We start from the raw sequence: 14,425 nt of genomic DNA on the forward strand, positions 1-14,425 counted from the left end.
AATTAATAATGGCAACTTAACTTTTTGTCTTCATGGCATTGTGACAACACTGCCTTTCAGCAGCCATAGTGATGTTACTGATCTGCTTTTGCCTGGTTTTCTATGAGTAAACTGTGTGCTGAGCCAGCCACGTGCTGTGACTCAGGCCTTCTTATGACCAGTACCACCAGGCACTCACACTGCTGTTGGCCAAGAGCTGCCTGTGGCCATACAGCAGAGACAAATTAATACTAACACCATCCTTACGTTTGGGAGACAGGCTAACAGTTTACAGGCTCCAGAGCACTTTCACATCCCTTCACATTTAATCCTTGGATCACATCTGGTGTTATTCAGGCACAACTGGAAGGCCACGTGCTGGTGGACCACATCTGGAATAGCCTATGTTGAGAGACACATCTGGCACTCTTCCCCCATCACCTTCCTTCTTTTCTCTTCAGAGAACTTGGGACACGGAGTCAAGACACCTTGCTTTCAAGCCCAGGTCTTCTATTAACTGACCATGGGCTTGTAGGCAAAGTCACACCACTTCTCTGGGTATAATTGCATACTGGGTGATTTCTAAAGCCTCTTCCTGCTCCAAGATACTATTATGCTGTGACAAACTGGAGAAGTAGACAGTGACGATATTGATAGGGAACCTCCTTAAAAATGGAGACCCTGTTATTCAGAGAATTTAATGGCTTCTAATCCAGGATTACACAGATGGTAAGCAGTAACATCTCTGGTTGTTTCATTTAGTGTTTTTTCCACTACATTGCACACATGTGCGTGAGCACAATGTGGATTAACCTTGACCCGCTTAGCTCTAGCTCAGATAACCAGATGCAGATGGAGGAATCCATGCTTTCAGCGAAATTACATTAATTACTTGGACGGTATGTGGCTAAATAAGATTCCACAAACTGACAGCCTGCAGACAGGATTTGTCCTGAAGCCCTGTTTTGTTTGGCCCCTAGCGTGTTTTATTTAAAAAATTGACATGTTGCTATACTTTAAATTTGGGATATTTACATAAAAATCCAAAATTTCAAGTTCTCTTAAAAAGCCAAAAGATTTATGATTGGCTGAAATGGGCTCATCATTATATTGTCCCTTCAGTTAGTGTTTTCAAACTTCCATACTGTTGACATTTTGGGCTGGATAATTCTTTGTTGTGGAGAGGCTGTCCTGTGGATTTTGGGATGTCTAGCAGTATCCCTAGCCTGTGCTCAGCAGATGCCAGTAGCACCTTCTCCTCTGTTGTGACAATCAGTGTGACATTTCCAAATGTCCTTTGGCTGGGGGGCACAAAATTCCCTTATGTTGAGAATGATTGTTGTAGGCATTTGAATAGGAATCCTTGGAAAACAGAAGAGCTGGAGAAGATGTAGTCCAATGCTCTCAGTTTACAGAGAAGGAAACTGAAGCCCAACCGGAGAGGTTAAGTAACTTGCCCACGGTGACACAATTGGAACAATGGTGACAGACCTAGGACTGGAACCCAGGTCCTCTGACACCTTGTGCAGTGCATTTTTCACCTAGATCTGCTTCCAAAGCCCTCACCTGCCAACTGTGTGAGATGACGGGTACATTAATTTGCTAATTTCCCACCCACTTTAATTGCTGATCAGGAAGGCCTGACGGCTGCTTTCACTTCCTTGCAAGTGTGTCCAGAGGCAAGCAGAGCAGCTCCCCATTCCAAGGGAGCATTTCCTGGATATAGGCGGCCCATATTGTTTCACTCAGATTGGAAGGGGTGTTGCATAAACATTTGCCTTATTCTCTGATCCAGTCATTTAAATAAGATTTTTCTCATTCCCAGCCAATTCAGATCATCAGTCTCTTTTGCATTCTTGAATCAACATTTCCTCCAAAGCCGCTAAGAAAGTGTACAGCCAGAAACAAATGTTTGTGTGAAGTCATTTGTCACTCTGCAAATTCCTTAGGAATGTGGTTATACAACAAACAGTTGGATGTTATCATTTATATGCCTAGAATTTGTTTCATTATCTGAAAGCTCATCCTTTTTGATAAAAAAAATTTTAGAAGTATATTAATGATTTATCACAGGAAGTATTTACTTTTCACAATAATAAATTCCTCTGATGTGAGAAAGTACCTACCAGGCTCACTGGACCAGAAGCCCTGAGTGCTTAGGCTTCAGTTTTGGCTCTGTCACTATCCAAACTGATGGCCTAAACAGGGCCATATCTTTCTCAACAGTGTTTTCTGAGCTACCACTGAGATCCCTTGACACTCTCATATTGTATGAGTCATATTCCTGTTTCATCTATTATAGTCCCTGTGAGCTTTCTCCTATAATTGAGTCTTGTTCTACCTGGTTTGACTACTGCATTTTTGATAGAGAAAGCCCAGGAAACACCTATTGTAAAATGTTATTCATTTACCCACTTACAGTGGGACCAGCCCACAGGTTAATTTGAAATTTTTCTAGTTGTCAGTGAAATATCTTAGTTAGAAAGTAACTTTGCCAGACAGTAATTTTAAACTCTGCTTTGTGGGTACAATAGTCCCCTCTTATCCAAGAGGGATATGGTCCAACACTGCTAGTGGGTGCCTGAAATCATGGATTGTAGGAACCCAATCAAACACAGTTCTGTTCACATCCACCCACAAATTTAATACCTTTTCCATCCTAACTAAGCGCTTGTCATGCACTGTGGCCATAATTTTGCAGTTTAAAGGGCAACAGCAAAACTAGCACACATTTTTTTTTTCCTCTCCACAATTTAACAGATAGGTCTGTTTTTACTGTAGGTTTTAGCAACTTCAGCATACAATTCTTTTTTTCTTATTAAGTTGAGAACCTCCTCCTTTTCATGTAAAGAAGACTATGGTTTCTTTTTGGTATATCCAAATTGCCTTGCATCACTACTCTTGTGGTTAGGACCTTTATGAAGTAACATAAGGGTCCCTTGAACACAAGCACTCTGCTATCATGACAACAGATCTGTTAACCAAGAAATCTACTAAGTAAATCACAGGCAGGGAGGGTAGATAGCATGAAGACGCTGGACAAAGAGAGGATTAACCTCCTGGGTAAGATGGGGAGGGAGGGCACACAGTTTAAAACGTATGAATTGTTTATGTCGGAATTTTCCATTTAATATTTTCAGACCACGGTTGACCACAGGTAACTGAAACCACAGGAATGAGATGACAGGTAAGGGGTTACTACTGTATATCCTTCTTGGATGTCCTACTGAGTGTCAGAATCATTTGAGAATGCAATGATGTGGGAATCAACTTCCTCCTGCCTCCCACTCCACTTAGTCCTCCCCTTCAATGTGGTGGACTTTTCATATATTGTGACCTGAAGTTTACAGAGGACTGTTGTGTGACCACTCACTACTGCAAAATCATACTGCCCTAAATGTGTTCTTATTTTCTTGGCTTCTATCCTGGCACATCTCTCTCTGGCACAGTGTCCGTCCACCTCAGCTTCTGATTGTCTCCTTCCTTTCTTTCCTTTGAACTTGATAGGGGATCAGAGCATGAAAGACAGATGGCTCTAAAGAATAACAGAATTGCCACATATGCAAGAGTTGTGTGTCACCTCCCTTGTGTAATGTTTGGGTGGGCTTGATCATAAGGTCCATTTGGACAAGTGGAGGAGGGGAACAAGTGGTACAGAGGCTCAGATGCATGAGTTGGAAAAATGAATAGAGTGTTAAGGGAGCTGCAATTTGGACTCACCCAAGACATGCCAGATTCTGAACACAGAGCTGTAAGACTCCCTGCCAGAGAAATCCTCATTAAGATTAGTTGAGGCACTGGGCAAGCCTGGGCCCATGGATAAAGCCTTCAGTACCCAGAACTGAGCAGGTCCAGGAGGCCAATACAAGCAAGTCACTTTATCTCCTAATGTCACTCGTTTATAATCTGACCCTTATTGTAAGTCTCTGTGTGAAGGTATAGTTTTCTTTTATCTCTTTATCAAGAAGGAAATCAAATTGACTGACTTAAATTTTTGCTTATTAAAACACCGTTAACAATTAGCATTGAACATTGACTTTATGCGAGACATTCTGCCTGTAGTATTTTAGCAGAAGATCACAGGGAAGTTTAAGGGTAATTGTTGGCTGTTCTTGAGTATGCCTTCTTCCTTGCTTTGTTAATGAAATAAGTACTGAGTTTTAACTGGGTCCATGGTATCCCAGCTAAAGAGTACATCTTCCAGCTTGTCTTACAGATTGTGGTGGCCATGTGACTAAGTGCTAGCTCATTGGATGTGAACAGAAAAGGTGTAAACAACTTGAGGTTTATGCCCATAAGGAAGGATTGTGCCTTCTCCCTCCCCTTCTCCTTTCCCTCTGGCTGGAAGGTGAACGTGAGGCAAGAGTTGAGAAAAGACAATGTAGCCACAAGATGAAAGCTGAGTGTTGAAGATGCAGAACAGGCCAGGAGGAGTCTGGTCTCGAGACTGTGGAGCCATCCTCTCAGCTCTAGACTGATTATGTTCAGACTAGCATGAGAGAGAAATAAATGCCTTCTTCTTTTAAGCCACAATTATTTTGACTTGTTATAATAGCCACACCTGTTTCCTAACTGTTACTGCTATTCATTTTGTACCCTTTGTGCAAATGAGCATCTAAGCCTCAAAAAAGACAAATAACTGGTCTAAAATTGCTTCTGGAGTGGTCCCCTCATACAGCTCAAATGCAACGCTTTCTAGTCGAATTCCTCTCTGATATGGAAATGCCAGTGAAATCATACAGTCCTTTCCCCACACCAAAGGAATGCCCAGCTCTGAACAAAGGGTGCCTTCTGGAACATGTGCCTGGCTGGGCTTTCTTATGTGTGAGCCCATGTCCGGGGTGGGCAGGGATGCATTCTTTGTTAATCTCCAACCTGGGACTCCACCCACGTCACAGGCTGGGTTCCTGTGGATATTAAAATAACCGATGTGGTGGGTCAATAAATCATAAATATTATCACATTTACCTAGTATCAATATTACTAGTATTTAAGGGCTTGTGTTTGGAATGTTATATATTTTAAAAAAAGGCTTTAGCACCGAAATAAAGAATATGTTCCAAGTTACTTTGTTTGTTGACTTAAAATTTTTAAATATTGCATGTTAGTGAGATTTGGGTTGTGAGAGCCATGATGGCATCTCTGATTTACTTTTTTTTTCAGGGATACTGAGGGGCTACTTGTGAGATGGCAAAAAAGAGATATGGCAACCAGAATTTCCCTCAGTCGCCCCTGACAAGTTCTCCTACATCTTCACACAAAGTAAGAGGGCCGCCACTTCACGGTGATCTCAGCACTCCTAATGCCATTTGGAAAATTCTGGACTTGGATTAAGCACTACTCAGGCAGGACAGTTCACAGATATCTGTGAGCCATGACTTAAGGCCCATCATCTCTGAAGCTATTTCCAAGTTAGTTAGCATCATATGGACAAACAGAGGGAGAGGCAGAAAGAGAAATTTCTTTTCCTGCAACGTATGTGTTATGTTAACAATAGGATACAATGAAGTTAGGGAATCATGTATGAATGTAAATGCCCCTGCATCCCCACCGTGTTCAGTACTTTATGTATTACCTTTGTCTTTTCCATGATATGCTTCTTACACATTCCCCCACTCTTTCCATGGTTATCTGTCAATTGTCAAATGCTGTTTACCTAGAGCATCGGGGTTCTCATTTGCTAGACTTTTTTTTTTTTGCAGTTTATTATTCTTTACCTCTGTTTACTAAACTCCAGCATCTCACCTACATTATGTAACTTTTTATCAAAGTTAAGTGAAATGTAGATCTTGAATTTTCTCTTTCTTCAATAATTCTTTATTGCTTGTGAAATATATTCCTATAATATTGTATATGTGACCAGGGGACCAGATGGGACAGGAGAAGGAAAATGGTTTTTAAGTGATGCAAGGCGATGCTTATTGTCTGTCAAGTCAGGACTATGAGGCCTCACAACGTGGAAGCAAGGCAGGCACATTTCTTCACCTCTGAACATTCTTGACCGGCTACTGTATGCCACAGCCTAGGGATAAAAACTTGAGGAAGGGTCTACCTCTGCCTCTGGAAGCTTATAATCTGTGGTATAGCCAAGTAACAAAGGATTTCAGAACAGTGTGCTGGGTGCTGCCATGGGGATAGCCACAGGGTGCTGGGGGAACAGGCAATAGTGATACCCAACTTGGTCTCGGGAGAATCAGGGAAGGTTTTCTGCATGGGAGGGTGGTGTTCAAGTGATACCTGAGTAGAGGCTGTCCATGCAAAAAAGTGGAAAATATCATGGCAAGCTTCCAGAGATGAGAAAGTTTGGGATCACCGACTAGTTCCATGCATCTGGAGCATAGAGTGGAAGTAGCTGAGTACTGAAATCCAAAGACGGGGATGAAAGCAGAGACTGGATTAAAAATCCCTGAGAGCCAAGATATCAAGTAGGTAAGGGGCAGAGGTCAAAATAAATGGATCCAGCCAGTCTGAGGAAGATTCACCTACACCAATGCTGCAGTCTGAAGCTGGATAAGAAGAAGGGAAGGAAATAAACATTTTTGAGTGTGTACCATATACCAGACCCTGTGCATCACCTAATCAAATTATCACACAAAGCTTTTAGGGGGTATAATTGTCACCATTTCATGGCTGAAAAACATGGCCTCAAAAGATAGCATGATGGGTATCACACAGCTTTTGAGTAGTAGGTCTGGGATTCAAATTCAGGTCTAATTCCAAAGCCTGTGTTCTTTCTGACCATAGCAATGACTCCAGAGCAACAGGCCAGCGAAGAGAGGGCAGGCTTTAATGAATGAGATAGAAGCTACAGTGAGTCAGACTTGGGCTTCAGGTAACCACATGGAGGCAGGGTAACAGCTGGCACAAGACTTCCAGGAAATGGGCAATGTTTGGAAAGATATGTTGACAAACTGCCCAGGCTGTGGGGCATGAGGTCCAAAGGTCAAAGTTTAGAAGAATAAAAAGCAAAATCAAATTTCTATGTAGAAGAAGCTAACTAGAAGTTGATATAGAAGCATGAAACTAGACAGAAGAGGGAGGAGTTAGAAGAAGAGACAGGGCCAAGTGCCATGCTGAGAGGCCGAAGCTACAGAAAAAGTGTCCAAGGAGAGAGGCTCCTGGTGATGGGGTGGCTGAAAGACTTTAAAGAATAGAAGTGTCTGATATGTAATCATAGGTTGTTTGGTTGATGTCCTGTAAACTCCAACAATTGCCCCAATTCTCCTGTTAAAATCCATCCCACACATCACATAGCCTTGTGTTTGAGACAGGCTCCCGTAGAATGTCCAAACAGGAAGACGGGGAATGTTCAGTGTGGAGTGACAGGGTACACAGAACAGAGAGCAGGCACAGAAAAGAGAGGGAGCCCGTACATGGAGTGATTAGGCCTCAGCCAGAGGTAGCCAGGAACATTATAAACAACTTGCCCACATGTCAAAGATTAGCAGAGAGTTTGAGAGAGTTGTTAAATGGCTCACCACATAAGGAAGGAGAATGCAAAACAATTTCATTTGAATCCTGAAAGGGCAAGCTGAACTTAGCTGATGTGTGGCTTATGAAAAGAAGATATTGCTAATAGAGCTGATCAAGGATTAAGTAGGCAACCTTGGACAGCAGTTAATTTTCCACCCCTGGGAATGTGTAGGCAAAGAGGACACAGACCCAGACATGGCAGTGGTAGGACAGATTCAGGTGTCAGATGGGGACAGACTGCATAACCCATTGAACTCCCTCCCAACCCTGAGAGTCCAGCCTAGGAAAGCAAGTTTAAGGCTCCCAAATGAATTAAGTATCCAAGCAAATCGGACTTGCATTTGGGAATGCACGTTTGACAAAACTCAGAATGAATGAGTCAATAGGAAATCCACCCAAACAGGTTAAAATTAAAACTGAACCATTAACATCCAAGAGAAGGATAAAGCTGCCTTGCTAGTCGACTTTCTGATTCAATCCAAGATTTCTCATGTGTTTCCTGCTCCTCTTAATGAGTCACTTGGTTTAGACAGTCTAGGATTTGCTTTCAGAGCAGGTGGATAAACTTACCTGTCCCAATGGAGATTTAGGTTTCAACACCTGCTGAAGATGCATCTAACCTGTTGAAGATTTTCTTGCATTTTTAGATTCATGCCCGGACCTAGCCATCCTTTCTCCCAGTTCAGTAGTGATATCCACCAGGCTGGAGGTGTGTTGAAGGAATGAAAGTGCACCAGCTTCAAGAGAAAAGGAAACAAACAAAAGTAGAGCAAGAAAGATTGAGAACAGCAATGTAGGCAGAAAGCTGGTAACAATGAGCTCTCTTCTCTCCATGACCTGGCCAGAAAGAAACAAGCAAATGCTGTTACAACCCCTTAGACTGTGTGCAAGGACAGGGTACACACCAATTGCTAAAGCACATGTTAAAAGGTTAAAATTTTAAACGATTTCCTAGATTTTCTCTTATACTGTGCTCAGAACAATATGTGCAATTTAGAGGAAAAAAAAAACCTAAGTAAATATGATATTCTGCTAATGCTCTTTTATGTGTCAGCCAGGAATGAAGATAGCTTAGGTACATGAAATTCATAGACAAACCATACGTTTTAAAAAAGCAGACTTTATTGGTTGGAATTTCAGCATGAAAGGTATTTCTGCACCCACCCATGGTAGGGCAACAGTCAGAATAGTTAGAAGTCACGAAGGAGGAGGAGGCAGGAAGAACCTACAGCAACCACAGACTAGATCGTCCGCCCTAAGAAATTGACTGTAGACCTCAAATAGTTGCTGATATTTGAAATAAGAATAAAATTTCCCATATGCAACCAGTCTAGGGAGGCATTCTTGGTGACATTTTCAAATTGTCCCATCTGCCACAATCCTCCACTCAGCAGGACTGAACACATCTCCAGGGGTCAAACCCACATGGATTAGATTTGAAAGACCACGAAGTTCAGTTCTTTCTTCAGAATGTCCTCCCTTTGTGGAAACTAGAAGTAAATTAACAACCCCACCTAGTAATTCCAAAAGATAGAATCACATTTAAGCTACCCCTTGGCTTTAGAAATGTTTTTCTTCCAAGAAACTACTTTTGAAATAAGTAAAAAATGTTAAAGCTGACCACTCATCTTTTCATTTTAAGAAGTACTTTTGAATCCTTCCTCCAGGCCACCATGCTAGACATGGAAGATACAAAGATCTATTGATGCCTTTGAATAGCCTAGAGTCTCTTGTTCGTATGAACAAGATTAAGATCCAATAAATTAATCACAAAGTGCAGATGTGCACCCTGAGCCTAAATCTGCCCCCCAGGTATTGGGAAAGGCCTCACAGCAAAGGTGGAGACTGAGCCGAGCAGCTGATGGTGAGTGGGAGTTTATCAGATGACAGACAGGTGAATTGCATTTCAGAAGGAGGGAATAGTATGTTGCAAAGGTACCAAAGAGGGAAAGAGTATGACAGTGGCTTGAGGAGAGTAAGTGGCACCAGGGTCAAGGGAGTGTGTTGCATGCTCTAGTCATGCAAGTGTTTTCCTGGAAAAAGAACAAATGCACTGTGGTAAAATTCAAGTGCATTCCTATACTTAAAATTCAACAGATCTAAAGATAGTAATTCAGAGCAAAAGGAAATTAAAATATTTGAGCAGTTTCTTTGTGACACCTGAAAACAAGTGCCAGGGGATTTATGAGTTATTATCTCTAGAATAGGTCGCTTCATGGGCCTGTAGCCTGCCATCACTCAGGGACCCATGCTGAGAAGCCTCTGCTCTTGGGCAAATGCTCTGCCCTTGCTGTCTTAAAATTCTTTAGTACATTTTGAACAATGAGCCTTGGCTTTTCATATTCCATTTGTCCCCAGAAATTATGCAGCTGAGCCTGAGAACAGAACATTTTCAGATAACTTGAAATAGCTCAGTATTGTATTTAAAGTGGAAAGAGGGAGAAGTGGTAGATGAGGTTGAACATGTAGGCAGTGGCATATATTGAAAGGCCTGGGAGTCTCGCTAAAAATTTAAAATGTACCTGTAGGATATAGAAGGTCATTGAAGAATTTGAGCAAGAAGTAGCATGAAGAGATGTGCTGTTTAGATCACTCTGGTGTAATGAGTCGATAGAGTGGAAATATAACAAAAAGTTTCCCATTTAAAATAAATGCACTTTCCTTGTTTGAATTTCGTTTCTTGGGAATAAAGTTTTGATCCGTCTTAAAAGTCTCTACGAGGAATAATTGCTGTGATTAACTTCCACCTTAGGGTAAATTAAGATAGCAAGATCTGTGAGCTCTCTTGAGAACTGGATGTAGGAAAGGGAGAACAGAAAACAGGAGGCAGAAGGTTCTGTGTATAGATGGGCAGGCCATACAGAAGCCGGGCTTCTGGGGAAAAGCTTAGCCGTCTCTTCATTCTTCACAAGCCTAGCCTGATGACACATAGAGATTTTTTTCTTTTCCCAAAAAATGGCCTTTTGGCATTCTCCCTGCCTGTTTCATTATTGCAGTGTTTCTTGTGTGTTCCCCAGGAAATCAGCATCTCCATCACCTGGAACTTGTTAGACGTGTACTCTCTGCTCCACCCTAGTAGCACCAAATCAGAAACTCTGGGGCTGGAGTCCAGAAACCTGTTGTTGTAATCCCTCTGAGTGATCCTCAGGCAGCCAGGAACTGTTGCTTCATTGTAAATTATCTGTGCCTCTAGAACTCAGATATTATAAGAAAAATGGTGGAAATGTCCATTTAGTATCAGAATGAATAATCAAAAGTGACTTTAATATCAAAAAATGTTCAGTCTTGTTCTAAACATATTTTTACATGAATGTACATTCAGCGAGTGATCTAGGGCATACATGATTGCAAAATCTTCATAGGTGTTAATGCCATAGTTCCAGAATGACTTTAAAAGGGCATATATTACTGCACGAGCAATGAATCATAGCTTCTGCAGTTAATGGTGGTATTTAACAAAACAAAATAAAGATGATTCTTTTCTTCTTAAGCAAGCATGGTCATTATTTTGGAAGAATGTTTTTCTTGTACCATCATCTTCTAAAGGATCATGTCTGCTGATAGTGCTGGAATTTTTCATTTATTTGTGCCTGACATTGCACCAGTAATATTGCAGCTATGATAATACATGTCCAAAGGTGACGTGTTTACATAGCCTATAAGGTTTCTGAAATGCAGTCTGATTTGCTGCTAACACCAGCATATCTCAGATTCTTTCCGTTGTCCTCCACGAGTAATCCAATATACAAGGAAGGATAAAAGAGTAAACACTTTTGTGATAATCCAAATTTTTCCAGTGGAATTTTAAACAGTTTGACAATTCAGTCTTGTTAAAAAGTGATATAAAATAAATGCTTCTTTGCAAACAATTGTCCAACAAATATTTTAATTCTGTCTCATATTCTCACAGTGGATTGTTTTCTGAGTCTTTCAGTGGAATTCTTTCAAATTAGAGCTCAATGATCTTCTTTATATTTTATCCAAAGTTTAAAATACATGAACCTGTCTCTACTTACTTGAACAATGGCCTCTATTATGGTGTCTTTTTCTTTAAATCCAAATATTATACTCAGCATTTTAGGAATTCTCTATCCCAAATACAGCCAATTAAATTGTCTATAAGTTATTCAGAGCCTTAGAAAATGAAATGAAATGGGAGTTTGTACTTTGAAATGAGTTCAAAAATGTGTACCATTTGTCAATGCTAATCTCTGTCGAATAGGCCTCATTATCTTCTGGTTCTGCGGCTAACAGATGAAATAATCTGACACAGACTTCTTTAACAGAGATATTTCTTCCTAGGAGAAGTCTGGCCTAGGAGGTGGAGGATGCAGCGCACCAAGATCGCACCACTGTACTCCAGGATGGGCACCAGAGTGAGACCTTGTCTCAAAAAAAAAAAAAAAAAAAAAATGGTCCCCAGTGTGGGAGATGGGGCCTGGTGGAAGGTGTGTGGGTCGGGTCATGAGAGTGGATCCTTCATGAGGTGCTTGGTGCAGTCTTCACTGTAATGAGTCAGTTCATACAAGATCTGGTTGTTTAGAAGAGTGTGACACCCTTCCCATCTCTCTCTTGCTCCCTCTCTTGCCACGTGGCACATCTGCTCCTCCTTTGCCTTCTGCCATGATTGGAAGCTTCCTAAAACCCTCACCAGAAGCAGATGCCAGCACCATGCTTCTTGTAGAGCCTGCAGAACCATAAGCCAAATAAACCTCTTTTCTTTATAAATTACCCAGCCTCAAGTATTCCTTTATAGCCATGCAAAACTGAGACAACACACATATAAAAAGTTCATCCCCCAAACATTTAGGTGTTCCTCATCCTAAAGGACCTCAGTTATGGTGTCATCACCTTGTTGGCCAAGTGAAAAGTTTGGAGATGTTTGATCACCTCACGGGTAGTTCAGATGTCATGAGGGCATGGAGTTTCCATTGGGAACAAAGGGAAGAGAAGGTGTTTTGGAAGAAAGAGGTTAATTCTCAGCCTGGAGCATGTGAGGAAAGGCAGGAGATAGGGACGGAGGTGCAGGTTTTGCGCAGGCAGGGTCAAGTGTAAGGATCCAAACTAGGGCAGAGGCTAGAAAATGAGTGAAGGGGGTGGGAGGAGAAAAAGGAGCTCCAGACTCTCTCTTGTCCTTGCCAGTAACTGGTAATGAGTGGGTCCCCCTCCTTCACTGGGGAATACCCCTTGGCAGGACATTCCTCCAACCCCCTAGACGAGAAACGTTCCTATTTTCTTTTCTCCTCAGCTTCCAGTGAGAATGTTTCCAGATGGGAACACCGTAATGCATGGGATTATTTCACAGACAGGACAAGGTTGTACCAGACAGGCTGGGGTCAGGAGGTGTCATGATCCCATCTCACAGAAAACACACTCCAATAAGCAACCAAAGAAGTAATTTGAATTAATTCATAGTTTTATCCAGTCCCTCTAAAACAGTTCAAAATGGGACTGGGGAAGAGAAAGTGCATTTTCATGTCATAGAAAAGCAGCAAAACGTTGTACAAATTCATTCTCCCTTAACTTCACCACTTTTTGTATCCACCACTCCTGTATCTTCTGAAGCTTTCTCTCATTTTTCAACTCCCAACCTTAATTCCCATTCTCTTCCCAATATAAATATACTAGCTTCTCCAGGTCACCCCCAGTTATTTACTTACACCAAACTTCATAATAAGGTCTAGGTGAATGTGTGATTGCGTGGCGGGAGGACATTTTGATTTGTCTTCTGTCTTCCCCCGCCAGAGTGTAAACTCGTTGGTGGGTTAGAGACTTCACTCCCTTCTGCCTGGAGCAACACCTGGCTTGTACTGAGTACTCAGTGACATTCATTAATCAATGAATATGCTTATATTTTGTATCCATGTTCCCTAAGGGGTAATTACATTGTTTGTAGCTGCACTTACCAACCTTATACTGGGAATTACTCTGTATATTAAAAGGCAAAGCATTGAATAGTGAGAGAAATTTGTTTTCTTCTGTCTCCATTTAATGATTTGTCCGGGGCCCTTTATATCTTTGCAAATCCAGTTTCTCTATCTGTTATTGGAAACAATAACACACCTGAGAGACCATCTAAGACCTAACATACAGAACTTTGAGCTTTTCACAGTAAAAGTCAGTGGCATTATATTGTTGTCTCACTGCTTTTAATGTTAATAGAGACCAGCTAAGAATGATGACTTGAGTCTTCAAAATGAATATTCAAACTTAAAATGTCTTTCTCTAGTCTAGATAGTACTTCCAAGGAAAGCTTTTTTCAGATGATTTTACTTCGGTACCAATGGCCTCTCTCCTCTGTATAGCATGTGCATAGAAGGGTAAACTAACTGATGAAATATTTTATCACTTGGTCTAACCAGGGGATAGGACAATGTACTCATAGTCAAATTGAGCACAGAGGAAGGCACGCATCTGGGCACCACATCCAAAGAAAGCCTCACTGTTAAATATATATTTGTGTGCATCTCAAAACATAAAAAGTCAGTATTTTTAAAATACATTTCAATAGCTAGAAAATGTCTAAGGAGAACGTGTCTTCTCCAGAACAAAGAACTATCTCCTTTTCGCTCTCTGCCCTCAGAGAAAATAAGATGACCAAAAAGATTGGAGTTTCCATAGCCTCAGCAGTTGCAGGTAGGAAGCTGAATAGAAACAACTTTTCACCAATGGAAATGATCTGGTGGTAAGTGCCTCATTGGCCCACTGGAAATTTGTTTTCAGAAACTAAAATCAATGGGAAATCCTTAACCTGGGAAGGCTCTGAGCTTTAGCAGCTTCGATAGCAGAGCTGGTAGCATGCTAAAAAAGGTCATGGAAGTAAACCATACATCAGGGAGCACATTTATTATAACGAGATTAGGGACCACATTTATTATAATGGGATTTATTAGAACAGGATATTACAATTATAATTGCAATTAGGGATTACAATTGTTGCTAACAATTGTAAGCATAGAATGGCTCTATCTAA

The 14,425-nt window shown here is 41.2% G+C and overlaps 1 annotated feature.

The window, feature by feature from the left end:
* Positions 45–245: a silencer, noted in NCBI's record as "peak1639 fragment used in MPRA reporter construct". NCBI's record gives its function as "represses an SCP1 promoter by STARR-seq MPRAs in K562 erythroleukemia cells {active_cell/tissue: K562}" and the evidence as "EXISTENCE:reporter gene assay evidence [ECO:0000049][PMID:32103011]".

This window comes from Homo sapiens, chromosome 12 (genome assembly GCF_000001405.40).
Source record: "Homo sapiens chromosome 12, GRCh38.p14 Primary Assembly".
Taxonomy (NCBI): Eukaryota; Metazoa; Chordata; class Mammalia; order Primates; family Hominidae; genus Homo; species Homo sapiens.